At 55.7% G+C, this 24817-nt stretch overlaps 1 protein-coding gene across 21 annotated transcripts in view, besides 13 other annotated features; it reads right to left on the bottom strand.

Moving 5' to 3' along the window:
* The window catches only part of NEK6 (NIMA related kinase 6), a 95702-nt gene that overhangs the window by 52464 nt on the left and 18421 nt on the right, over positions 1-24817 (bottom strand). For 2 of the 21 annotated variants that reach the window (XR_007061232.1, NM_001166171.2), the window contains exons 1-2: positions 8756-8880; positions 7831-7995 (exon numbers count right to left, since the gene is read on the bottom strand). The exons of 8 other annotated variants lie outside the window; for them this stretch is intronic. Coding sequence is in view for 7 of the 13 variants with exons in the window: in NM_001166171.2 (NP_001159643.1) it covers positions 7831-7903 (73 nt within the window). In the remaining 6 variants the exon portion in view is untranslated. Of the gene's footprint in view, positions 1-7830; positions 7996-8304; positions 8539-8755; positions 8881-14251; positions 14715-24817 lie in introns of those variants that run through there. 11 more of the 21 variants (XR_007061231.1, NM_001166170.2, XR_007061234.1 and 8 more) reach the window with 10 other exon arrangements.
* Positions 813-1718: an enhancer, noted in NCBI's record as "H3K27ac-H3K4me1 hESC enhancer chr9:127061405-127062310 (GRCh37/hg19 assembly coordinates)". NCBI's record gives its function as "activates a minimal SCP1, AML or CMV promoter by ChIP-STARR-seq in naive H9 embryonic stem cells {active_cell/tissue: H9 hESC(naive)}" and the evidence as "EXISTENCE:reporter gene assay evidence [ECO:0000049][PMID:30033119]".
* Positions 3533-4440: an enhancer, noted in NCBI's record as "H3K27ac-H3K4me1 hESC enhancer chr9:127058683-127059590 (GRCh37/hg19 assembly coordinates)". NCBI's record gives its function as "activates a minimal SCP1, AML or CMV promoter by ChIP-STARR-seq in naive H9 embryonic stem cells {active_cell/tissue: H9 hESC(naive)}" and the evidence as "EXISTENCE:reporter gene assay evidence [ECO:0000049][PMID:30033119]".
* Positions 5584-5653: an enhancer, noted in NCBI's record as "active region_28981". NCBI's record gives its function as "activates an Ori minimal core promoter by ATAC-STARR-seq in GM12878 lymphoblastoid cells {active_cell/tissue: GM12878}" and the evidence as "EXISTENCE:reporter gene assay evidence [ECO:0000049][PMID:35858748]".
* Positions 5884-5963: an enhancer, noted in NCBI's record as "active region_28980". NCBI's record gives its function as "activates an Ori minimal core promoter by ATAC-STARR-seq in GM12878 lymphoblastoid cells {active_cell/tissue: GM12878}" and the evidence as "EXISTENCE:reporter gene assay evidence [ECO:0000049][PMID:35858748]".
* Positions 7439-8423: an enhancer, noted in NCBI's record as "H3K4me1 hESC enhancer chr9:127054700-127055684 (GRCh37/hg19 assembly coordinates)". NCBI's record gives its function as "activates a minimal SCP1, AML or CMV promoter by ChIP-STARR-seq in primed H9 embryonic stem cells {active_cell/tissue: H9 hESC(primed)}" and the evidence as "EXISTENCE:reporter gene assay evidence [ECO:0000049][PMID:30033119]".
* Positions 8662-8721: an enhancer, noted in NCBI's record as "active region_28979". NCBI's record gives its function as "activates an Ori minimal core promoter by ATAC-STARR-seq in GM12878 lymphoblastoid cells {active_cell/tissue: GM12878}" and the evidence as "EXISTENCE:reporter gene assay evidence [ECO:0000049][PMID:35858748]".
* Positions 8732-8841: an enhancer, noted in NCBI's record as "active region_28978". NCBI's record gives its function as "activates an Ori minimal core promoter by ATAC-STARR-seq in GM12878 lymphoblastoid cells {active_cell/tissue: GM12878}" and the evidence as "EXISTENCE:reporter gene assay evidence [ECO:0000049][PMID:35858748]".
* Positions 8862-9061: an enhancer, noted in NCBI's record as "active region_28977". NCBI's record gives its function as "activates an Ori minimal core promoter by ATAC-STARR-seq in GM12878 lymphoblastoid cells {active_cell/tissue: GM12878}" and the evidence as "EXISTENCE:reporter gene assay evidence [ECO:0000049][PMID:35858748]".
* Positions 13875-15074: an enhancer, noted in NCBI's record as "BRD4-independent group 4 enhancer chr9:127048049-127049248 (GRCh37/hg19 assembly coordinates)". NCBI's record gives its function as "activates an origin of replication core promoter dependent on BRD2, P300/CBP, MED14 and CDK7 cofactors, and independent of BRD4, by STARR-seq in HCT116 cells {active_cell/tissue: HCT116}" and the evidence as "EXISTENCE:reporter gene assay evidence [ECO:0000049][PMID:35650434]".
* Positions 13957-14336: an enhancer, noted in NCBI's record as "active region_28976". NCBI's record gives its function as "activates an Ori minimal core promoter by ATAC-STARR-seq in GM12878 lymphoblastoid cells {active_cell/tissue: GM12878}" and the evidence as "EXISTENCE:reporter gene assay evidence [ECO:0000049][PMID:35858748]".
* Positions 14837-14906: an enhancer, noted in NCBI's record as "active region_28975". NCBI's record gives its function as "activates an Ori minimal core promoter by ATAC-STARR-seq in GM12878 lymphoblastoid cells {active_cell/tissue: GM12878}" and the evidence as "EXISTENCE:reporter gene assay evidence [ECO:0000049][PMID:35858748]".
* Positions 15163-15337: a silencer, noted in NCBI's record as "fragment chr9:127047786-127047960 (GRCh37/hg19 assembly coordinates)". NCBI's record gives its function as "represses an EF-1alpha promoter that drives an FKBP-Casp9 reporter gene in an ReSE screen in K562 erythroleukemia cells {active_cell/tissue: K562}" and the evidence as "EXISTENCE:reporter gene assay evidence [ECO:0000049][PMID:32094911]".
* Positions 17780-18074: a silencer, noted in NCBI's record as "tiled region #10556; K562 Repressive non-DNase unmatched - State 5:Enh". NCBI's record gives its function as "represses a minimal TATA promoter and a strong SV40 promoter by Sharpr-MPRA in K562 cells {active_cell/tissue: K562}" and the evidence as "EXISTENCE:reporter gene assay evidence [ECO:0000049][PMID:27701403]".

Below are 24817 nucleotides of genomic sequence, written 5' to 3'. Positions count from 1 at the left end.
CTGTACCCCTGGAGAGCCAGAAGTCCTGAGGAATGGAGCCCCCTCCCCTGCGGTGGCCCTTATTCAACAGCTGAGGGGGCGAGAATGAAAGCCAGTCCCGTCTCAGGTCGGGGCCCTCCAAGATGTGACTCGTATCCTAGAGCCCCCGGCGCGGTCAGCGGGTTTTGTCTGAGAAGGAACCTCTGGTCCGTCTCCTGCCCATTCCTGGCCTTGCCCTCCCTCCTCCCTGAGTGGTTCTCCCAGGGGCACTTCATAAATCCCATGCCTACATATCCCCATCTCAAGTTTGGCTTCTGGAGGACCCAGCCAAAGACGTCATCTCTCTCCAGACAGACCCCGCCTCCTGCTGTCTCACCTGGTCACCTATGCCCCAGTCAAATTCCAAACCAAGAGTCTTCCCCCGGTCTGCTGGGCCAGCAGCCCTGCCACTCCCTCCCAGGTAGACCCACGCCCCCATTAACACGGGGGTGTTCCAGGAGGTGGGAAAGGCATCAACACCCTCCGGGCTGTCACAGCCAGCTCCTAGAGGTCCGGCCACTGTGTCTCAGGGTGCAAGTCACTCTTCCTTCCTCCCCACTGTAGTCTGTTTCCAGCCACAGTGGTGGGCCGACCAGACCTCTCAGGCTCCAGGGATATCTGTGACACCCTTTGACATGTCAAAGGATGTCCACCAAACCCTAACTCACCCGCTGAGCTTGGCCTCCCAAGTTGTGCCCTCAAAGGCACCCTGAGGCTCCCCAGAACTTGCAGGCTGGCTCCCAGCACCCTTCTCCCTCTGTGTCCTCAGGGCGGCCCAGCTCTCCTCCCTGCCCCACACCTTCCACAGACTGTTCTGGGGTAAACCTGCTCTCTCAAAATAGATGACAGGATGTGAGACTGCAGGGAAGTGGATGGTATGGACTGCAGAACACGCCCAACTCAGGGTCAGGGGGGCCCTCGCTGGCTGCAAGTCCTGCCAAGCCTGGCTCATGCAGTCTCCTGCTTGGGAAGCTGCAGAAACTCAACCAACTTTGACCCACAGACTTGGCCATTTGATGTGGTTCATCCTAGTGTGGACAGATCAGTCAGTAGGTCTCTTGTTGTCTTTTTAGTCTGTGCACACAGAGCACTGTCAGATCAGTGTCACACGGAGGGGCATTATGGGTGCACCTGCCTCTTCCCTCCCCACCCCTGCCTCTGCCTCAGCACAGGCCTCATCTCCCCACCTGGGTCTCCCAGCGCTCAGTGCTCTCCCTGCCAAGCCCTCAAATGCAGATGGGAAAATGGCACCCTCGGTGTCTCCACCATTTGTGCCGAGTTCTTGCACTGGAGCGCAGGTGACATCCCAAGGTGACACAGGGGAAGACCCAGGGTATAAAGAGCCCCAGGATAAACAGATAAACACGAGCACCTTCCCCAGGCATCTTTGTTAGGGGGAATATGAGAGAGAGCAGAATGTAAAATGCGCATGAATTTGAAGATAAAACTGAGCCTCCTGCAGGCTCTGCAGCTGCTTCCAGCTGCACCCCTAGACCCCTCAGGGTGACATGCTCACTGTCCTCTGCCCTTAGGGAGACCTCCAGGGAAAGAGTGGAGAACTGTCTTCAGTGAGAAGGTTCCATCTTTATCTCAGAAGGCACCAGCCTTGGCCCACAGGTCACCCCTGCGAGACCCATGCACACATCGGCTTACCCGCCCACCTGCCCTGGGGCCTCCCATGTACTGGAAACTGTGGCAGTGGAATCTAGACCCTGTCACTCACCAGCTGAGACCTTGGGCAAATCCCACTGGGGAGGAGCCTAGCGGGTGCTTGGGAATGTCATTCCTGCCCTCCCCACGTGGCGCTGACCGCATTCTCCAACAGCTGCAGCCAGATGCCATGGTCTGCACACTCTCAGGAGCTCACCTGTGGCCTCACATGGGCAGGGCTCCAGGAGCAGTGCAAGGGGGACCGGGAATAAGAGCTAATAATTGCAGGGCCCTGATCATGCTGGGCCCTGCCCTACGCTCTTCACCTCTATTAGCCCATCTCATTTTGTCAACAACTCCATGAGGTAAGGTCTATTATGGTCCCATTTCACAGATGAGAAAACTGAGGCACGAAGAGGTTAAGAGATTTGCCCGGGTCCCAAGGATCACAGACAAAAGGAGCCAGGATTTGAACCAACAACTGCATATTTGTCCAAAACTACGGTACTGCACTCCCCACAGGTTCTTACACAGCAACACCATCATCTCTCCAGCTGGCTCCACCCCGAATGGGCCCTCTCTCCACTTGAGAATGGGGCCTGTGCTGCTGATGCACAGGGGTGATCTCAGGGCTGGCGGACCACAAGGGCCCATTTCCTCCACAGGGTCCCCAGGGGCAGGAGCCCCCGGAGACTCTGCCCCACTGACCACAGCAAGCTGATGCAGCACCACTGTCTACCCCAGTGGTGCCTTTGCTGCCAAACCCCAGTCATTACGAGCTGCTCTGTTCAGAACCTAATGGAACCTGCGGCACCGTTAGCCTCCAGGGAGGAGCCGGCAGGTGTTGATGTTCCCTGTTCTAGGAAAGCAGCAGCCACGGAGGACTCTGCAAGCCCCTACCCACCGAGAGCCAGAGAGGGTCCCTGCTGAGGGGAAGGAGGTGGGGAGGCGCGAGGGGGAAGGAGGAAGGGAGAAAGGAAGGGATGAGGGTTCCTGTGGGCCAGGTCTTTCCCATTCACCCTCGGGGCTATTGGTAGACCCATTTTATAGATGGGGAAACCGAGGCTCAGAGGAAGAGGCTCGATGCCATTAGGCTGATAAGCTGCAGAGAAAGGATTCAAATCCAGATCTCAGTGACTCTAAACTCCCTCTTTGTTCCAAGGAATCTACTGCCTCTTGGGGCTCTCCATGGGTATTGGATTTTAGGGCATTTTGTTCTATTGGTCCACACCCCAACAGAAACCCAAGCCCTGTGCTCTGGAAATTCCTGTCAGAAACTGCTTCTTAGGGGGTTCAGATGCAGAAAGGCCAAGGCAAAGGGGACGTGGAAGGACGAGCCACACGGAGCAGGGAAAAGACCCTTAGCACATGCGTGCAGGCACCTCGGGGTAACACTGAGGACTGCCCGTCCCCGGGATCCCGCGGCTCCTGCCAAGTTGCAGAACAATGAGGTAGTAGCTGCCAAGCCCAAGTCAGGGGCCAAAAATCCATGGAATGCAAGACCCAGAGCTGCAGGCCACACTGAACACCACCTCAAAGAGGGCTTTTCTTCTGCCTCAAGCAAGGGCCCTACATTTGCAAAACACTGTGGATAGCTGCACAGTGAGGCTTCCCAGCTCAGGTTCCTGGCTTTAGGCTGCCGTGTGCTGTGTGTCCCCAGGCACCGAGGGACCAGATTGGGAGAAGCCTCAGGGTTCAGTGAGGCTGGCGGGGAGCTGGACTGCAGGAGTCCAGGTCCTGGCCCGGTTTCATCTAACCATGCTGCGTCTCAGTTTCTTCATCTGGAAAATGGGCTAACAGTCAGATCTTCCTCTTAGGGTCACTGTAAACTCCTTAGCACAGAGCCTGGCACATGGGAAGGGACCTCTGAGGCTTTAGCTATGAGGCTATTTAGCTATTGAAGCTAACCCTCACTTGTACAATGGAGGCGTGATCACCTCCATGTGACAGACATGGGGCCTGAGGCAGGGACTTGCCCAGGGTCATCCCTGCCCCAGGTAACACAGCTGGTAAATGACACAGCTGGGGCTGTTGGACCCAAGATTGCTGCTCTATGTCCTACGCAGCATGGCCTCTTTAGGACTGCTCTGGAGCAAACGTCTTCATCATCTACGTGAGCCGTGGCTGCCTCTGCAAAGCCAGCTGCTGTGCCGCACCCTGCCCGGCCATGGATGAGGCTCTCACTAATGTGGGCTGTGACCCTAGGGAGACATGAGCGCTTGGTTTTAATCCAGGCACCTGCTGGAAGGGATCGGCTGCTGTAATGGGCTGGCTCTGAGGTTCCAAGTGGCCTTTCTGACCAAGGCTGTCATTGGGCCCTTGCCTCTGAATTTTTGGAAACTTCACCTAGGGGGAAGTCATTCCTGTGCCTCCTGTCAAATGCCACACTTCATGGAGACTGGTGGCTCATCGTGGCCCGGCCAGTGAAGCACGACCTCAGACACCAGGAGGGCTCTGTCCAAGGACCCTGCTTGGAGCAGGTTTGGGGGCATGAGCTTGCAAGGGTCCATGTGTACTGGGGTCCATGCATGGAAGTGCATTCATATACTGGATCTTACACCTCTCCTTGCTCTGAACCCTGGAGGTGGTAACGGTGTGTGTCCTGCCTGCCTCTTCTGCTCCTGTGTGTGCACGTGCACAGGCATGATCAGGGGTCATCTAATGTCCACCAGGCTCGTTCTGTCCACTGAAGCAGAGGGTAGACGTGGCAAAGGCAGTTGTGGCTCCCAGACTGACAGGTGTTGCCAAGCCCAGGGAGAACCCACTCCTGGCCTTGGAGGTCAGCCTTGGCCAGACACTGTACTCCCCTCTCCAGTTTCCCTGAGCAAGGCCCCTCCTCTGTGCCTCCAGCCGAGGGCACAGCTTCACAGGTTGTTTTCCCTAAAGCAGGAAGCCGTCCCTGTGGCTTCACACTCAGGCACACACAGCTTTCTCTCCGCCCCGAGCGAATGGTACTGGCAGCACCAGTGCCAGCACCAGGGGTGATGTCTGTTGGTCCAGCTGGCTCCTGGTGGCAGAAGCCGAGGATGGATGCCCACTGCCTGGGGCCTTCAGCCAGCCTGCAGAGGCTCCACTGCCCGACACATGCCCCAGGGAGCTGAAGATCGGAGGCCCGGCAAGGACAGCTCACTGCACTGGCCACTGGCTGGGTCAAGGCCGGACCAACTTCAACATCAGCCAACATCCACGGGTGAAACGGCATCTCCCAAGACACCTGCAAAGTACCATCACCCTTGTTTTGTTGATGAGGAAACTAAGGCTCCATGGAGAAACATGGCTTGCCAAAGTTGAGTCCACACAGTGGAGAGAGCTGCCATTTGAACCTGCTTCTCAGACCAGCCAGACTGAGCAATTACAGAAAGAAACTCAGCGCAAGCCCAGGGGCTGTAAGGAATGCCACGCCCAGGCACACTGGCTGGCAGGGAGCACCAGAATAACAGCCCCCGCCAACAGAGCATGCACCACACATGCGCCAGGCAGGTGCCCAGTGCCGCTCATACCTCGTTCACACTTACAGACCCCTAGACGGGCCCTGCTATGATCCACACTGTTCAGAAGAGAAACCAAAGTTCAGACAGGTTGAGTGACGGGTGCCAGGTCACACAGCAGGCGGCAGGCAGAACTGACACTCGAAACCAAGTCTGCCTTGGTCCAAACTGCCTTGGAAGAGGGTGTGAATAAATGACTGACTGAATGAATACTGGCCCAGAGCTGTGGCTCTGGCTGCTGGGCCCTTCCCCAGCCCCAGCCCCGCTTCTTGTCTGGTCTCAGGATAAGCAGACGTTGCCCATTCATCACTTGACAGGAAGCAGCCCGATCTCAGGCCAGAGTCATGGGGGCCTGTCAAGCTGGAGGGGACAAGCCACAGATGGAGTCTGGTTTCCGGCCGGGTCCTGTGTTCCCTCACGCTCGCCCCAGCTCTCCACCTGCAAAGCCAAGCATCCTGCCCGGATTCTGCAGCTCCATGACAGCGGAAGCCTGGCTGCTCTAAGGTGCAGGGATGCAGGACCATGAGCCACTCCTGGAAGGTGGCCATGCAGACAGGTTCCCCGCTGCCCCCTTCCTCAGGGTGGTGGGGCCTCCCCCAGGGTGGGCCTGCAGCATCAGGAGGCCAGCTGATTGGGGGCCACACGGTGCCCACCCAGAAACAGGGCTGCTGTAGCCTCCGGATGCCTCGCCCTCCCCCAGGACCCACACCTGGTCTTCATCCAGTCCCAACCATTCTTCCTCCAAATGTCTTCACTCACCCCAGGGCCTCCACTCTGTGCTGGCCTTGTCCCTTCTCATTGGGTCCCTACAGTTACCTTCAGCCTCCACACTCCCCTGCAGCCCAGCCTCCAGCCCACCATGGAAAGGTTTTCCTAACACACAAGCCTGAACCTGCCAATCTCTCCTGAAACTCCACAGCAAAAGGTCCGCACACCGGAGCAAGCCATTCCCTGACCACCTGACACGAGCCTGCCCTCATGCATTTGCCCCCAACATCCCCCAGGCCTTGCGTGCAGCCATATTAAATGAGCGGTCCCCCTCCCCAGCAACACAGCACCCTGGTCCTTCCATGTCATTCCATGCACCAGCCTTGGACTAAAGACCCATCGGTGCCTCTCAATGGGCAAAGTCCCACTTGTCTGCCAGGACCAGATCTCTCGACCCTCCTTCATCTCGGCACTTTTTTTTTTTTTTTGAGATGGAGTCTTGCTTTGTCGCCCAGGCTTGAGTGCAATGGCGCGATCTCTGCTGACTGCAACCTCCGCCTCCTGGGTTCAAGTGATTCTCCTGCCATTTGAACCTGCTTCTCAGACCAGCCAGATGGAGCAATTACAGAAAGAAACTTAGCACAAGCCCAGGGGCTGGAAGGACTACCACGCCCAGGCAGACTGGCTGGCAGGGAGGAACTGACACACTACTCAGGCTCCCGAGTAGCTGAGATTATAAGCACACACCATCACGCCCAGCTAATTTTTGTAGTTTTAGTAGAGACGGGGTTTCGCCATGTTGGTCAGGCTGGTCTCGAACTACTGACCTCAGGTGATCCTCCCACCCTGGCCTCTCAAGGTGCTGGGATTACAGGTGTGAGCCACCATGCCCAGCCATAGTCTTGGCACTTCTTGTGGGACCTTGGGGAAGTCCCGTCCCCTCCCTGAGCCTTAAACGTCCCCATCCACAAAAAGGAACAGCCCAAGCTTGCAGGGAGGCTGCGAGGACTCTGTGAGCACACAGTGGGCAGCCAGGGGGCACCAAGGCCCCTTCTTCCCTTTCCCATCTGGTGGCATCTACACAGGTTTCTCCCTGAAGGTGGGCTGTTGAGGACACAAACTGCTTCCTTTGTCAGCATGTCTGCCTCCTCTGCCAGCCTTTAAGGGCAGGGACTGACCTTCGCGGTCATCTGTAAACCTCCAGTGCCTCACCCAGGCCCGGTGAAAAGAGGGCCACCCAGGGGGCGTTGGCAGAATGAATCTCTGACTAGTAGGTGGAGGGGGCTCTTCCCACCCTCCTGCAACCCCAAGAAACCTCTGCTGAGGGCTCAGCATCCCTGTGGTCACAGATCAGACAAAAGTCACTGGAGATTCAAAACCAACTGGGCCGCACACTGCAGGGTTCCCAGGGCCTTTTTGAAAATCGAGGAGCATCCCAATCACCTTTCACTTCCTCCTCAGGTAATAAAACCCAATTCTGGAAGAAAAAAAATGCAGAAGCTGTAAACATCTTGTCTCTCAGTTAAAGGAGCAACAAAGCATTTGGCTTCTGCCCAGAAGATTCTTGACTCTGGGACCTGGTCAAGGCTGGGTCCGCTCCCAGCCTCCCTGAAGATGAAGCTGAGATCTGCTGAGTGCTTCCTCTGTGTCGGGCACTGCAGGCAGCAGCTCAGCACATCCCTGCTGTGAGGTCTGCAAGCCCTTCACTTTTACAGATGAAGAAACTGAGGTGCAGAGAAGTTAAATGACTTGTCGAGCTCATGCAGCTGATAAGCAGCATGGCCTGTTTTTGAACTCAGATCCAACCCTCTCCAAAGTCTGCATTTTAATCATTTGCCTGAGGTGATCCTTGGTGACCACAATGCAGCTGGGGAGAGCTGCGGTCTCACTCTAGGAGTCCCAGGCCCGCTAGCAGGCCCACCATCCCAGAGACCCCTGCCTGCCTGGGAAATGATCTTGCTCTCACCTCGAGGCCTTGGCAGGCTCTGCTCCTCCTGCCGGAAATGAGCTGCCTCCCAGCAAACTTCTCTCCTGGGCATCTCCTCCAGGCAGCCTTCCTGGACTCACCCCGTCACTCCCAGCTCCACAGCCTGCTCCCCCGTGCTGTCTCTAATTCATGTGTCTTCTTCTCCTTGAACATGGAAATGTCCTTGAGGGTAGAGACTAAACCACTCTCTCCATGGCCCCAGCAGTTGGCAGAGGAGAGGCTGGGTAACTGGTTGCTGACTCAGTACAGAAACACCTGAGGCCAGGAGGGAGAAGCCTGGCCCCCCGAGACCAACTCATGCCAGGGGGACCACTGGGGAGAGGCTGGGGCTTAAGGGAAGGGATGGATTTCAGAGCAGAACCGCAGCTACTACCCTGCTGACTGACAGTGGAAGAAGGACCAAGTGGAACAGCCCCGGGGGCTGGAGGGCTTCGGTGTTTGTAAAAAACTCACCCTGGGTCCCAGGCGAGCATCTAGAATCCCATCCAGTGGCCTCCATGCAGGGAAAGCTTTCAAGCCCGTGGCCTCCCCTAATTTTCTCTCCTTCCCACAGGCAGGAAGGGGCAGACAAAACCCACCCTAGAGAAAGAATTGCTTTTTCTGCTTCCCTGGAAACTCAGAAGTTCTGGCCAAGCCCAGGGATTACTCAATGTGAAAGCAGCCATCAGCAGCCACCCCTGTCCCAGGCTAGTGGCAAAGGTCCTGTCAGGTTGGTGGGACTGGCTGAATGGGCAGCCCCACCAGCAGGTGGCTGAGCCAGCGGTGGGTGGCAGAGGTGCAGCCAGGTCAAGGTCCCTGGAGCTCCAGCCCTGGAGGTCCCTGGGGCCTGGTTCCCCATCCCTCGCTGGACACACCCCTAAGAGCAAGCGGTTCCCACAGCAGGAGGCAGAGAAAGTCAGGGTACCTTTTGAAGTGGCTCCTGAGAAGCTCCAGGGAAGGTCTGCTCCACTCTGGGTTGAGGGCAGACATGAGGTGCCTGGGCCTCCAGGGAGCTGGGTCGCCTCTCTGGGCTGGGGTGGGTGCAGGAAGAAGGGCCTCTGTCTCCGCATGGGACTTCCCCTTCCCAAGACTCCGGTCCCCAGACACCGCCAAAAGGAAACTCCCCCACCATGCGCTGCTCTAAAAATAGCTCCGGCTGCCACCTCCAAAGTGAATGGAACTTGTCACAGCCGCCACGGAGCCCCCTGCTTACCAGGGACTGGAATCTGATGGCAGCACCACCCGATTAGACCAGTGTAGGCTCAGGGAGGGACAAGGGTCCTTTCCTTTGGTCCTTGTGCTCGCTCCCCACCTATCCACACTGGGGCCCAGCAAAATGCTGAAAAGCATAACTGTTCTTGCTGTTTGTTTATTTATTTATTTATTTGAGATGGAGTTTCGCTCTTGTTGCCCAGGCTGGAGTACAGCAGCATGATCTTGGCTCACCGCAACCTCCGCCTCCGAGGTTCAAGCGATTCTCCTGCCTCAGGCTCCCAAGCAGTTGGGATTACAGACACCCACCACCATGCCCGGCTAATTTTGTATTTTTAGTAGAGATGGGGTTTCTCCATGTTGGTCAGGCTGGTCTCGAACTCCTAACCTCAGGTGATCTGCTGACCTCGGCCTCCCAAAGTGGTAAGATTACAGGCGTGAGCCACCGTGACCGGCCCTTGCTGTTCCTTTAAAAGCTTAACCCTTTCTATTCTCTCCTTTGTAAACTGGGCCCAAATCCTTGGTTGCCCATGAGATGAGAGCCCTGGCAGGCGGCAGTCCTGGTTCAAGTTCTGGCTTAGCCACGTCCCAGTTGTGTGCACCTGCATTCTCACGGGTAAAACAGGGACAAGGGTAGTATCTACTGCCCGGGGTGCTGGTGGGTTACATGACATTGCACGAGTTGAAAGAGCTTAGGGCCAGGCGGGGCACAAGGCAGATACCCCATCAGTGGGGTTGTTATTTGATTGTTATTGCATCTTTATTCGGGCCCTGCATTCTCCAAAACGAGGGTGCGGATCCAGGATCAGAGGATGAGGAGTGTTCGTCTTCCCTTCGGGACCCTGCAATGACTCAGACACAGTTCCTGTTCTTACAGGTCCCCAGGAGCAGGCCCTGGAACTGCTACCCACAAGCTAAAAAGAGCACGAAGCTGCTCAGGAAAAGGACCCATGGCTGCTGCTTCTGGCGGGGCCAGGTCACGGGGAGCTTTGGACAACAGGTAGAAAACCTGAGGTGGCCCAGAAGGACCAGCAGGGTTTGGACTAAAGGGGAGGGGGATTCCCAGTAGAGGACACCGTGGGATCAAGGGCACAGAGGCCAGACAGACCCCCCGCCACCCAGTCTGTGAGAGGAATCTGGGCTCTGCAGGCCAGCCCCAGCCCCTGGTCCCCAAGAGGGGCTCTCCGTGGCCAGCACCTGCTTCCTTTTTCAGAACGAGCCACTTCTGCCCTGGGCAAACCACCCCTGTGCCCCATCTGCAGCTCATCGCCACTGGGACTGACACAGGCATACAGCAGCTGAGGCCCTGGAGGACGCGTGAGTGAGATCCTGGCACCGAGGCTCCGCCACCTGACACACACCTTCCCACCAGCCGGCCCCAACTGTCGGGCACATGCCAGGTGCCAGCACCCTTGGGGGCGGAGGCTGGGCCCAGGCCAGCCATCCACAGGCCCTGGGGGCCGGACTCCCAGTCAGGACCTGGTGCGTGTGGCACCCCTTGAGGAGGTGGCCACAGATCCATGTCCCCTACAACCCTGCTAGTGGGCGTTACCAGCCTCATTTCACAGAGAAGGCTCCAGATAGGCCAGGCCAGGGCCTCCTGAGAGTCACCGTGAGCCCCCAGCATCATCTCCACGTGGCTGTGCACACCTCAGTGCATCCAGGTGGCGGCGTCTTCTTTGCCCAGTCCTACCACCCGTACGGTGTGACGGGGCTGGCGCGTAATCACAGCATCTGGGGCCACACCATGGCAACCCCTGCACCTTCCTGTGTCGCTCTCCTTACCAGGATCCTCACTGAACCCTGGAGTTGGGCTTAGGAAGTATGTGGCCATTTTTAGCTCCGCAGGAGTGGCTTGTGCTCTGAGCTGTGCTGTGTGTGGTCTGGTGGCCCAGGACTCATACAGGCCAGACTCCCATAGGGCTGCATGGTCTTGGGAAAGTCACAGGCTATCTTTGGGCCTCAGTTTCCCCACCTGCAACATGAGTGGGTTGGACTCCACAGTCTAGAAGCGCCCTTCTTGTGCAGATGCTTCTTATACGGCTGACAAAGGATCTGTGATTCACTGGGTTGCTCTGGAATTAAACTGGGGATCCTGTATTTAATCACGTGCTCATTTCTGGGCACTAGAAAACCAGATCTTTTCGGTCTGGAATTGCTAAGGGAATTTGTTCTTGGACCCTGGATCACTTCTGAGCCCTCCAGCCCCTGCACACTGCCTTCCTCATGCATAGTAGCCATAGTGACGTGGGGCTGTGGCTTGGATGCCTCCTGGGCTCCCCAACACACAGCCATGGAGGTGTGTATATGGAGGCATGCATCCAGGGCACCCCATCAGTGTCGGGTGCTGGGCCAGATCCTTCAGGGATAGTGCCAGCCTGTGTGCTCACAAAACAACCCTGGAAGGCAGACAGTGTATCCATTTGACAGATGAGGAAACTGAGACTCAGGGAGTCCTAGCTGCAGAGGCAGAGCTTGGATGGGAATGCAGGCCTGAGTCCTGACCTGGACATCCTCAGCAGTGTGTCCAGAGCACCCTCCCCTCAGCGAAGGAGCAGATGGAGTGTGTGTGTGTGTGTGTGTGTGTGTGTGTGTGTGTGTGTGTGTGTGTGTGGCGGGGGGGGGCGGGGGGGGTGTCCAATCAAAGTCTTAACTAGGTCAGGCGTGGTGGCTCACACCTGTAATCCTAGCACTTTGGAAGGCTGAGATGGAAGGATCACTTAAGCCCAGGAGTTCAAGGCTGTGGAGAGCTAGTATTGTGCCACTGCATTCCACCTGGGTGAAAGAGCAAGACCCTCTTTCTAAAAAAACAAAAAACGAAACACCAACCAAAAAACCCCAATGTACTTAACTGCGTTGCTGAATCACAGAAGGGGCCGTTAATTTCAACGTGGGGCAATGAAGGGGGCTGCAGGGAGGCAGTGTCCTGGATCTGAGAAGAGCAGGCCAGGCTGTGGGGAGGTGGAGAGGCAGCAAGCTCAGGGGTCTGAGAGCCCCGAGTACAAATTCGGTGCTGCCTCCATCCGCCCATGTGAGCCTGGGCCAGTCCCAGGGTCATCCCTTTGCAGTTCCCTCTTTTATAAACTAGTAGCCACAGTAGGACCCATCTTGTAGGGCTGCCGTGAGGACCAAGTGAGGTACTTTACATGCAGGTAAAATACCAGCCCAGGATTATCAGGGCCCGGGTATGCAGAAGAGCTTAATAAATGTGGGTACTGGGCCGAGCAGGGTGGCTCACGCCTGTAATCCCAGAACTTTGGGAGGCCGAGGTGAGTGGATCACTTGAGGTCAAGAGTTCGAGACCAGCCTGGCCAACATGGCAAAACCCCATTTTTACTAAAAATACAAAAAATTAGCTGGGTGTGGGGGCGGGTACCTGTAATCCCAGCTGCTCAGGAGGCTGAGCACTGAATCACTTGATTCAGGAGAATCACTTGAACCCAGGAGGCAGAGGTTGCAGTGAATTGAGGTCGCGCCACTGCACTCCAGCCTGGGTGATGGAGTGAGACTCTGTCTCAATCAATCAATCAATCAATGTGGGTACTGCCACTGTTATGATTCCTGTTATCATAAACAACCAGCCCTCACGCAACAGCGATATCCCTGCAACAAGTATTTCCAGAAACCCACTTTCCAGGGAACCCCAGCCTTATGGACACCAGGCCTTTGGGCCTGTGGACCTGGAAGGAGGTGTCCAGGGCCTCTGGGGATCCGCCTTTTGGGAGGGCGAGAGAGGCTGCACAGCTCCTGCTGCATCCTCCCAGGAGCTGGGAAGTGATGGCAAAGCATTTTACAAAGTTACCAGGACAATGAAACTGAGCTGGCCCCCTCCCCCACTGTCTCCATAAAATAAATCTTGGCCCGTGGCTGGTGAGAGACCCTATATATTTACATGACGATTGTGCCTCATGATCACAGGGCTCATGGTTCCAGAGGGTGAAATGACACATTTCTTCTGGGCGGTTTTTTTTTCTTTTTTGAGACAGTGTCACTCTGTCACCTAGGCTGGAGTGCAATGGTGCAATCTTGGCTCACTGTAACCTCCACCTCCCAGGTTCAAGAGATTCTCCTGCCTCACCCTCCCAAGTATCCAGGGTTATACCTGCATGCCACTACACCCAGCAAATCTTTCTATTTTTAGTAAAGATGGGGTTTCACCATGTTGGCCAGGCTAGTTTCAAACTCCTGACCTCAGGTGATCCACCCACCTCAGCCTCCCAAAGTGTTGGGATTACAGGCATGAGCCACCGCATCTGGCCTGGTCAGTTCTTGATGGTCTACAGAGTGACTTTTGTCCACACTATCATAGGGAGCCGCATGACAACCTTGAAAGGTGGGAAGAGTGGGAATGATGTTCATTTTTGAGATGAGGAGATGGGGGCTCAGGAGTGGCCACGACTTGCCCAAGGCCCCTTACCAGCGGGTAGCAAGGTGGGGCTCGGCCCCGTGTCTGCCTACGTCGTGCTCCAGGCCCACCTTGGCACCCATCTCTGAATTCCCAGGCCCAACCAGGCTGGCCCCTGCTGGTGCCAGGGTAACCTGAAAGTGAGCCTACACAAAGGACAGGAGGACCTGGGGGCCCCAATCCTGGGTTCGAGTCTTGTCTCCATGACCTCCTGGCCCCTAGGTCTTTCCCCTAGGGATCCCCATCACTAGGCCAAGAGGGCTGCACCCTGTACGCTCCTGACCCTGATGTCCCAGGGTCTGTCCCCAGGCTTCCCGGTGTGGCCAGCTGTCCCTCTGTCCCCCGCAGCCAGGGGGGCATATCACAGCCGGGGGGCAGCAGGTGGACATATCAACACCTGCTGTGCCCCAGCTGGATCCCAGGTGAGCCAGGGCCTTTCGGGCAGGAAGGAAGAGGGGAGTGAAGTAGGATAGGGCTTGTGTACCTCATCTCACCCTGCCAGGCAGGGCTCATGCACCCATTTCACAGATAAGGAACTAAAGCTCAGAGAGGGGAAGTCCCTACTCATGTCAGCAGCTTCGGAGACAGACTCACACCCTAGGCTGGCAGCCTCTGGAGCTCATGGCTGGGGCGCCCAGCAGAAATCAGAAGGTGACCAGGCCCCTCAGGTCTAATGCCCTGGGGCCTGCAGATGGGACACAACTGGCCCCCGGGCCTCAGCCCCGAGTGGCTCAGGAGCCCAGGAGCACTGCAAGGAAACAGGAGAGCGAGAAAAGTGCAGGCCAGGCTGATGACTCAAATCACCTTTGACACGAGGAGGTGGGCAGAAGCACGCAGCATCTCTGGTGGGTTTCGCCTCGCTTCTTAGAAGGATGCGTCACCAGATTTTGTTTAATCAGCACTCACCCGACCTTCGTCCAGGGTGGCACTTCTTGGCTGGCTTGTCTCTGTGGCAATCACAGACTGGCAGGTGGGGCCACCTCCCTGTCAACAGAGGACACCTTCTCATTTCACAGCCGGGGAACCTGAGGCTGGGGGATTGGTTCCGGGACACACAGCAGGGACTCAAGTCTTCCAACTCCTTTGTCAAGAGGTTAATTTTTCTATTTGTGGAGAAGGGAAAGGAGGATCCTATAGAGCTTTAAAAGAAAGAGAGGGGAAAAAAAGAACTAACAGCTGAATAGAATTGCAACAAGGCCCCCAGCCAGCCCGAAGAGGTTTCAGACATTCTGTGCAGTCGGAATTCTTGTGGGCTGAAGGGTCACGCGATTTCCTCTGCAAAAGGCAGTGTTTAAAAAGTCTGACTGCGGGGGAGGGCAGGGAGGGGGGAACCGTTCACGAGACTAGGAGTCATGAGTTTCAGCCTTGGCTGCCCCAATGACTTGCTGAGTGACCACAGCGAAGTCCCTTGCCCTCTCTGGGCCTCAGTTTATCTGTATTTATTTAGTATGTACCCAGCATCGTTCTATGCACTTGAGTGATGTTAACTTACTTTAATCCTCATAACAGCCTTGTGAGACAGGTAAATTATTATCTCCGTTTTACAGAAGGGGAAAACTGAGGCTTACAGTATGCTGCCCAATAGAGGTGGGAAAACTGGGATCTGAACCCCGGTTGTGTGGCTCCAGAACCCACACTCCTAACTGCTGGTGGCCCGGCCCTCCTGCCTGCGGCCGGCCCTGGCTGCTATCTCGTGTCCTTTCTGTCCTAACAGGCTTTGCATCTGCGGCTTGGACACAGTGGAGCCAGCGGGCCTGTGTTTGGAGATCCTGAACCATCCTCCTCAATCTCGGCTGTTGCTCGGATCTGCTGCCTCTTCCATGAACTCTGATTTCTTCAGTTCACTCAGTAGCCTTCAGAAACTATAGCCTGGGAGACTCTCGGGAGGCTCCCTGGGTCATGGTGGCCATCGACCCAGCTCTTTGAGCCTTGCTGAGAGCCTCAAGTCCAAGCAGGAACAGACGAACCCACTCTGATGTCCGCTTGGAGTTTTACATGCAGGTCGGCCTCTGAGACTGCAGGAGGGGAGCCTGCCATTCAGGCATCCAAGAAAAGAGTGAGAAAAACATCTATTCATAGCCAAACAGAGCCTGCTCTGTGGAAACGGTGCTACCAACGCGACAAGCAGACCAGCTGTGTGAGGGCTTCCCGAAAAGTCTGACCTCAGAGCACCCGCATGGAGGGCTCAAAGGCTTGAGCGGTCACCAAGCCTGTAAAATATGCCTCGACGTTCAACCGTGCCGTGCCTGAGGGAATACGGTTCTGACCCAAAACCTGGGCTTGCCTTCCAAAACGAAATTCTTCAAACAACAGACATTTTTTGGCTTAAACAATCTGCTGATGTGTTTTCCTCTGCTCTCTAAAGTAAGGAATACTCACACTAACAGCCACAAAATCACGTGCCACTACTCCGTGGCACCTACTGCACCACGTATTTGGGTCCACTGGCTCACCCCATGAGGTGGGCATTCCTGCCTTCATTTTGCAGATAGGGAAACTGAGAGTCAGAGTGGTGTAAATTTGAAGACCTGGGAGACAGCAGAGGCAGGGGCTTGAACACTGGTGCCAGCCTGGAGTTGGGGATGAATCTCGGCAGATCCTGTGTCATTAAGGGAAGCTCCCACCAGACATGCAAGAGCAGAGAAAGTTCCACCAGGCGGTGCATGTGGTCTTGGACCCCAGACACACACATTCTTCCCTCCACAGGCGTCCGGAGAATTCCTGCAGGGGCAGGTGTGGAAGGACAGGGCCCAGCTGCAGTCAGAACAACTCCATAGAGACCGCCTCAGTCCTGCCTTTTTAAGACACTGGAACCCATTAACTGGGAATTTTGTGCTGAACGCCCAGAAAATCCCCGGAGCTTTGCTCATAGTTTTGGGTCAACATTGGATAATCATTAAACAAACGTGTGCGTGGTCGCTGCCACGCTCCCATTCCACTCCTGGGAGCAGGAAAGACCCGAGTCCGTTCACTTGAGGCCTCATGTTTCACCAGATCCCCAAGGACTCCATCAGTCCACATCCAGTATTTTATTTTATTTATTTACTTAGAGACGGAGTCTCGGTCTTCGCCCAGTATGGAGTGCAGTGGTGCCATCTTGGATCACTGCAACCTCCGCCTCCCTAGTTCAAGCAATTATCGTGTCTCAGCCTCCCAAGTAGCTGGGATTACAGACATGCACCACCACACCTGGCTAATTTTTGTATTTTTAGTAGAGACAGGGTTTCAACATGTTGGCCAGGCTGGTCTCGAATTCCCAACCTCAGGTGATCCTCCCGCCTCAGCCTCCCAAAGTGCTGGGATTATAGGCGAGAGCCACTGCGCCTGGCCCACATCTGGTATTTTAAAGATGGGGAAACCAAGCCACACAGCAGAGGCGTCACATGCCTCCAGACATTCCATTATTTGCTCACTCAATGGACACACAAGTGCTGGGCACCAAGCGTGTGCCAGGCAAGGGGGACCAATCTCCATCCTCAATGGGGCTCTCAGGCGTCCCTTAAACTACAACCAGGGTGCCCGCTGCTCTGCAAAGCAGGGTGTGGAAACACAAGAAAATGTGCGTGCAGTCTACCTGGGGCATGGGATTTTTCCTCGGAACGGGAAGCAGCTCTGAGTGGAGGAATAGGGGCAGGGCACTCCAGGCAGAGGGCATGGCACGTGCAAAGGCCTAAAGGTGAGGCAAGCCCTGTGCGAGTTGTGGGATAGAGGCCGAAATGACAGCAGTGGCATCAAGCCTGCAGAGGGGAGGTTCAGGAAGTAGGATCCACAGGGCACTGCCATGACCTGCACATGGCTGGTAAGGGGTGCAGAGCCAGGGCTGGCACCCAGCTCTCCAGGCTCCCTTCCAGGGCTCCCTGCACATGACCCTCCCTCCCGCGATACCAAGTCTAGGTGGGTTTTCCTCAATGCCAATCAATGCCTGAGATGCAGCTTAGCAGCCTCTGTCCTCCGTCCAGTGCTACACCCGTGCACTCAACTTCCCCACCCCTGCCCGGTCGTCTCAGCTAACTGTGTCCTAGGACGTGGGGAAGGAAATGCCTATAGATTCTCCTTCCCAAGAGGCCCCACTGAGGCTCCGTCGCAGGAGTGGCATGAAATTTACGTTCTGGGCTCCAAGATGCTCTCTCTCATTCAGTATTGACTGAGCACCTACTATGTGCCAGGCCCTGGGCTAGGCACGGGAAGGGTTTGCCTTGTCATCCCCAGCCTTCCTGAGAGGGTCAGGGCTGGAACTGTGCCTCCTACTTCACAGGAGAGAAGTGGGGCTCAGCAGGGCTCTGGGACTCCCTTGCTTGAGATCACTTGGCAGGGAGTTGTCAGGGCGGAAACGTCTGATCACAGGGCCTTTGCCAAAATAGATAAAGGCCTCTGGGGGAACAGGGGAGGCTGGATTCCCTCCTTCCTGCCCCACAGGCTGCCCTTTGTCCACAAAGCGGGGGAGGCTGTGCTGGTGGGCGCTGCCGGGAATGGCGGGCCCTGTCATTACTGGGAGGGGCCGCTCTCTAACCCAAAAGAGCAGAGCCAGGGCTGGCGGCCTATGCTGGGCGCTGAGACGTTCTCAGCCCTCAGTGGTCCTGGCTGGTGCCACCAAAGGACCAAACGCTGCAAGCCTGTTTTTAAAAAACATCGTGCTGAAGACCCAGATCTACTCAGCACTTGTCTTTGGGGCCTGTATGAAAGCGTAGGAATGAATCTGGGATGCAGAGAGTCAGGGGGATCCCGGCCCTCCCGTGCCCCTGAGTATTCAGTGGGCGTGTCTGACCCACCCCCTGTGGCCCCAGCCTGGCCCTTGCTGTGGTGACAGCGTTCCCCCGCCAGACTCTGCTCCTTGGTCTCCTGTCTCCTCCTGGGAATGAGGGCAGGCTCCCTGGACCTGCCCTCCTCATCCCTTACGCCCCCAGAGTAATGTTCCCCCCAAACCCTTGTCTATCTGGAACTGGGGCATAGGCCCTTACTTGGAGATACTAATCAAGTTAAGCTGGGGTCACATGGGATTAGGGTGGCCCAAATTCAATGACGGGTGTCTTTCTATGAGGGATGGACACAGAGACAGACGCACAAGGAAGAAGGCCATGTGGCGACAGAGGCGAGCACTGGAGGGATGTGTAGACGAGCCACGGAACACGGAACAAGGAACAAGGAGGGTGGCTAGCGCCTGCCAGAAGCCAGAAAAAGGCACGGCAGGTGCTTTGTCAGAGCCTCCACGGGAACTGAGCCTACCACCAGCCTGATTTCAGGCATCACGCCTCCAGGATTCTCCAAGAGAGAATGAATTTCTATTGTTTTCAAGCACCCAGTTTGCAGTAATTTGTTATAATATCCCTAGGAAACCAATACGCCCCACCGCACACCAGGGCAGAGCCGGGGGCTCACGTGTGGCCATGACTCAGAGGTTCTTGAGGCATCAAAGTCTGCCCCGGGCTCCACTTCTGTGTCTGGGGTACAGAAGTACATCAATGGCTTCCGGGCCTGGAGGTGTCACAGGCCTGGACAGCCTCTCCCACATTTTGAAGATAGACATAGGTTGCCAGAGTTTTCTGGCATCTAAAATAAAACGTCCACCTAGTATCACCATCTTTCATAAAAGAAAGGACAGGCCGGGTGTGGTGGCTTACGCCTGTAATCCCAGCACTTTGGGAGGCCGAGGTAGGCAGATCACCTGAGGTCGGGAGTTCGAGATCAGCCTGGCTAGCATGGTAAAACCCTGTCTCTACTAAAATACAAAATTAGCTGGGTGTGGTGGCAGGCACCTGTAATCCCAGCTACTCAGGAGGCTGAAGCAGGAGAATCACTTCAACCCTGGAGGTGGAGCTTGCAGTGAGCTGGGATCGCACCACTGCACTCCAGTCTGGGCGACAGAGTGAGATTCTGCCTCCAAAAAAAAAAAAAAAAAAAAAAAAAAAAAAGAAAAAACAGCTGACATGGAAAGTAGCTATGCCAAGCCAGGCCTTCCTTTTCTTATTTCACCGTGGGTCCGCGGAAGACTTCACACGGCCCTAGGCCTGGCCTGGGTCTGGGATTTGGGAACCAGTGGACTCAGGCCACTGTGCTAGGTGACTTTTTCAATCGTGGCTGAGGAGAAGCATGGCCGGCCTCCTCCATTCTCCTATGAGTACAAAAAGGGGGTCTCCCTCTCAGAAATCTGACCAGTATATTCCAGTGAACATGAGGGTAATTCTAGTGAACACTCTCGGAGTACTGGGTGATTTCCTGGTCTGAGGGAAGAGGCCCCCAGGCCAGTCACCAGGCAGCCTGCTGGTGAGGAAGAAAAGAAAACACAAGCGAAAAGCGGGAGATGCAGCAGGGAAGCTCTGATCTTTCTCAAGAAAAACAAAAGCGCTTTGTGAGGCTGAGGTGGGTGGATCACCTGAGGTCAGGAGTTCGAGACCAGCCTGGCCAACATGTGGAGAAACCCCATCTCCACAAAAAATACAAAAATTAGCTGTGGTGGCATGCACCTGTAGCACCAGCTGCTTGGGAGGCTGAGGTGGGAGGATCCCTTGAGCCCAGGAAGTCAAGGCTGCAGTGAGCCGAGATCACGACACTACCCTCCAGCCTGGGCAACAGAGCAAGACCCTGTCTCAAAAAAAGAAAAAAATGAAGAGAAAAAAGCAAAGCAAAGCGTGAAATTATACACAATGTGCAAATGTCAAGGCTGAGGACCCCAGCTCTCTGCAGGGTCCCCTCATAAACCCGTGCCTAGCCACAGAGCGAGGTGCCAGATGCCTGGTGCTCCAGGAATAGCTTTCCAAACATGTGGCCCTGGAGGCCTGATGACCCAATGGACACTGGTCACCTCGTGCTTGGAAAACGTCACACCCATGTCTGCCCCACGGTACCCAGTGCTGGGACAGCAGCCCAGGGAAACATTCGCATGAGCGTGAGGAATGTTTCTTCTCCAGCAACTCCAGGCGCTGCTGCCATCTCTAAGGACGCTCCAATGGTGGGGATACCCTCTCCTGGAGTGCTCGGCTGGGACAGTCTCAGCGTGAGCGGCAAGCCTCACTCAGATGATAAGGTCTGACGCCGTACCCTTCCAGGCCCCGATTTCAACTCCCCTCCCTCCTGTTCTGCACGCCTAGACCAGGGGCAGGGTGGGCCCCAGTTCTCAGGAAGCCAGGAAACACACTCTTTTCTGGGCTAAATGCCCAGATTCCTCGAGCAGTCACAGGACACACTTTTTCTGAGCTGATCCAAAGCCACAAGTGTGGACTGGAAGTTTCTTTGGGCGGTGTGAACCTGCAAGGACACAGCCAGGCACACCTGGAATTCCAGGCTCAAAGCTGGTCAGTGAGAGAGGCCCCAGCTGACCCTGGACAGGCAGGGGCTCCAATCCTGCCCTGGCAGTGTGACCCAGGGATGGGCCTGCCCTCTGTGGGCCTCCATTCCCTTTTTGAGAACACCAGGGTTAACCCACTCTGCCATCATTTGCCAAGCATTTCTTGAGAAGCTTGTGAAGCCATGTGCTGTCCGAGGGGTTGGGGACACAGGAGTGGACAAGAGAGAGAAGGCCTTCCCCTCCCACAGGTTTTGCGTGGTTGGGAGGTAGACACAGACATGAGAGTGAACAGACATGGTCATTTCAGACAGCGATACGTGCCTTGAGGGAAACGCAGCCAGGGAGTGACTGGGTGGTGCCAATAAGGGGCCGGGTTTCAAAGAGTCACTGGGGCCATCAGATCAGATCATGCAGCAAATTCCTTGGCACATAATCAGCACTCAACAGACAAAGGGGTTCTCCTGTCCTCCCACTGCACAGGTGGGGCAAGTGAAGTCAGAAAGAGAAAGGCTGGGCCAGGCGCGTGGCTCACGCATGTAATCCCAGCACTTTGGGAGGCCGAGGCAGGCAAATCACTTGAGGTCAGGAGTTCGAGACCAGCCTGGCCAACATGGTGAAACCCCTGCCTCTACTAAAAATACAAAAATTAGCCAGGCGTTGTGGTGTGTGCCTGCAGTCCCAGCTACTCGGGTGGCTGAGGCAGGAGAATCGCTTGAACCCGGGGAGCAGAGGTTGCAGTGAGCCGAGATCGTGCCACTGCACTCCAGCCTGGGTGACAGAGTGAGACTCCGTCTCAAAAAAAAAAAAAAAAAAAGGGAAGAGAAAGGCTGGAGTAGGCTGCAAAGGGACTGGGCTGGTGTCGGGCCCAATCTAGCCCCATGTTTCCCAGGGGTCCGAGGGGGAGCTCCCTGCCCTGTTTGCCCCCATAAAGACCCTCCTGCTCTTTCTTGGTGGGAAAGTGATGCCTCCGGTATCACAGCCCAGGCTATCCCACCAAGACAGGTTGAAGCCCCCCATCCTCTCCAGGCCAGGCCAGAATTGAAATATGGGACACTCCACCTATTTGCTGGGAAACTTCGCCCAAATTGATCACCTCTCTAAGCCTCACTTTTGTGATCAGAAAACCAGGAAAGAGATCTACTGAAGATGAGACTGTGTAGGCAAAGTGCCCCGGTACACAGGAGGTCTGAGATCGTGCTTGGTCCCCCCACCCTGGTCTCCACTGATCCTCCCCAGCACTGCGGCAGGGGCTGGGACGGGTGCTCTAGGTGACGGGAATTCTCAAGGGAGCGGGGAGTCAGATGTGGTATGAAGACTTCTTTGCTGGGCATCTTAGCCAAGACCCTCAGCCTCTCTGAGTCTCAGTCTCCCCAGCTGTATAATGTGTCAACCAACATACATGAAGTCATCCAGCCGGTATCTGACGCATGCGTCTCCCCACCCTCATGCGCCCATTCAACCTAAAAATATTCTGACCGCATCCCAAGTGGGCACTAAGTCCTATGGTGGGCCAGGGGTGGGGGGGTGTGGCTGAGCCCCCTGTTGGCGGGCAGAACCCAGTCTCCTCTAGAATCCTCCTGCAGCCACCTGGGTCTGCGAGGGGGTGAGGGCTTGTGGGCTAGCCTGGGCTCATCTTCTTGAGCAACTTCTCCTCCACGGAAAACGACACCCGGACAGACCTGGAAACAGCCCTCCTCAATGCCTGGGACACTACTGCTCACCTAGGGGAACCTACAAACCCAGCCCATGCCCCCAACGCCTACAAAGTACCACAGATATAAACAGTCACACATCGCTTAGCGACAGGGACACACTCTGAGAAATGCATGACGAGGCGATTTTGTCACTGTGTGAACGTCTTGGAGTTGACTTACACAAACCCAGACGGTCTCGCCTCCCCCACACCTAGGCGATAGGGTGTCGCCTGTCACTCCTGGGCTACACACCTGTACCGCATGGTCCTGTACCGAGTACTGCAGTCGACAGTAATGAAATGGTCAGTATTTGTGTGTTTACACGTGGAAAAGGTACAGTCAAAAGATGGCATTATAATCTTATGGGACCAACGTCACATACGCAGTCTGCTGTTGACCAAAGTGTCCTTATATGATGGTGCATCCCGTATTAAAACTCAAAGGCGCCCCTTCTCACAGCTTCACTTTGGACTTCTCAGACCCAAATAAACAAATAAATGCAGGGAGGATCAGAAATCAGTCACAGGGACAACACGATGCACTCTCCACAGCACATGAGGAGCAGGGCTCTTGCAGATTCACGAGGCAGCCTGGAAATTGGGGATACAAATGAATTCCGTGGCCGCCGACCTGCCTGGATGGGGCCTGCGGGCGCGCTCCCGTGAACGCGGGCCTCTCTCGTCCCCAGGAAGCAAAACAACTTCTCTGACAGGGAAGAGAATAAACGACACGCAGAAATAGGAATTTAGGGAAGACAACACTTTCCTTCCTCTCCCCAGGCAGTGCTGGGAGCGTCACAGATTTTATCATTTATTCTCACAAGTCGGCAGGCATCGGCCTGGTTTTTCACAGGAAAGCCGAGAGAGGCTGAGGGTGCCAAGGGGAGAGCCCTCCGCTGCCCCAACACCCAGCAGGAAAGGGTAGGAGAAGGTGGTGGGATGGGAGAAAGAGCTGAGGATTCTTTGTTTTGTTTTTGAGATGGAGCCTCACTCTCTTGCCCAGGTTGGAGTGCAATGGCACAAGCTCGGCTCACTGCAACCTCCGCCTCCCATGTTCAAGAGATTCTCCTGCCTCAGCCTCCCAAGTAGCTGGGATTACAGGCGTGTGCCACCATGCCTGGTTAATTTTTGTTATTTTTAGTAGAGGTGGGATTTCACCATGTTGGCCAGGCTGGTTTCGAGCTCCTGGCCTCAAGCAATCCACCTGCCTTGGCCTCCCAAAGTGCTGGAATTACAGGTGTGAGCCACCACACCCGGCCCAGCCAAGGACTCTTTTTGGGTGGAAGTGCGGCCTCAGGTAGCTGAGAGGCTCAGGAATGTCCACAGTGGCATCAGCACCTGGGCCTCCCCACTGGCCTCTAAGTCCTCCCAGCCTTAGCACCGTCATTTTCCACACGCGCCACCAGACACATATTCCTAAGACCCCATCTCCCCTTCCTTATCCACCTTCAAGGTTTCTGGGTTGCCATCCCTCCTGAGCTTAGCACCTAAGACCCCTTGACCCATCAAGCCCAAGCCCAGGTGATGTCTGTCCTCCACCACGTCAGCTCCACGGAGCCACTTATGGTTCCTGCAACTGCTGTTTCCCACCTCTGCACCTGCTCACGCAGTCTCCCCATGCTCTAACTGCAGGCCTTCGCCACCTGGCCAACCCCTACTGATCTGAAGGGTGCTCTGATGAACGAGCCACAATAGCAATAGGAGGAGGAATTATTGTTTAAAAAGCTAATAGCTAATATTTACATATCAATAATAACATACTGTTAGGATTTGCATGTATGGAGGAGGGGCTGTGAAGATTCAGGCTCAAGCACTGGCCCCTCTGCACACACTCCAGCCACACATAGACAACCACTGTTCCAGCCACTGTCGTCCTGAGTCCACGGGGATTCAATGGCCCCTTCGATGTACCACGGGCTCATTATTGCTTCATGATTTTTCTTTTTCCACTCTTGCTCTTAGGCTGACCCTATGGCTTCTGTGGGCCTCGGCCTCACCCTGCTCCCAAGCCAGATCCAGGTATGAAGGGCCAGGGTCAGAGGAGAGTCAAGGGCAAAAAGCACATTGCCCTCCTTGACTGATGAGGAGACTAAGACCAGGGCCCCAGCCCACCCTTGCCCCAGTCACCCATCCAGAGATGATTCCTGAGACTCTGGAGCCACTGAAGCCCCTGGGGAGCATTTCTTCTGACTTGCAGCCCAGAATTCTTTACTCCCTGATCCAGGGGTCTCCAGGTAGGAGCTCAGGCTGTGGACACCAGGTGCCCGGCACTGTTCCAGGCTGCTCCCCACTTCTCCCCACTCTCCCCAGGACAGCCCCGTTCCCCCTCCTCTCTCCTGAAGTTCACAGCCGCCTCCCAGCCCCCCAGCCTCCACGGGCCACACTCTGCTTCAGG

The sequence above is a fragment of the Homo sapiens genome, chromosome 9, assembly GCF_000001405.40.
Source record: "Homo sapiens chromosome 9, GRCh38.p14 Primary Assembly".
NCBI classification, from domain to species: domain Eukaryota; kingdom Metazoa; phylum Chordata; class Mammalia; order Primates; family Hominidae; genus Homo; species Homo sapiens.
This window is presented reverse-complemented; position numbering and strand designations above follow the sequence as displayed.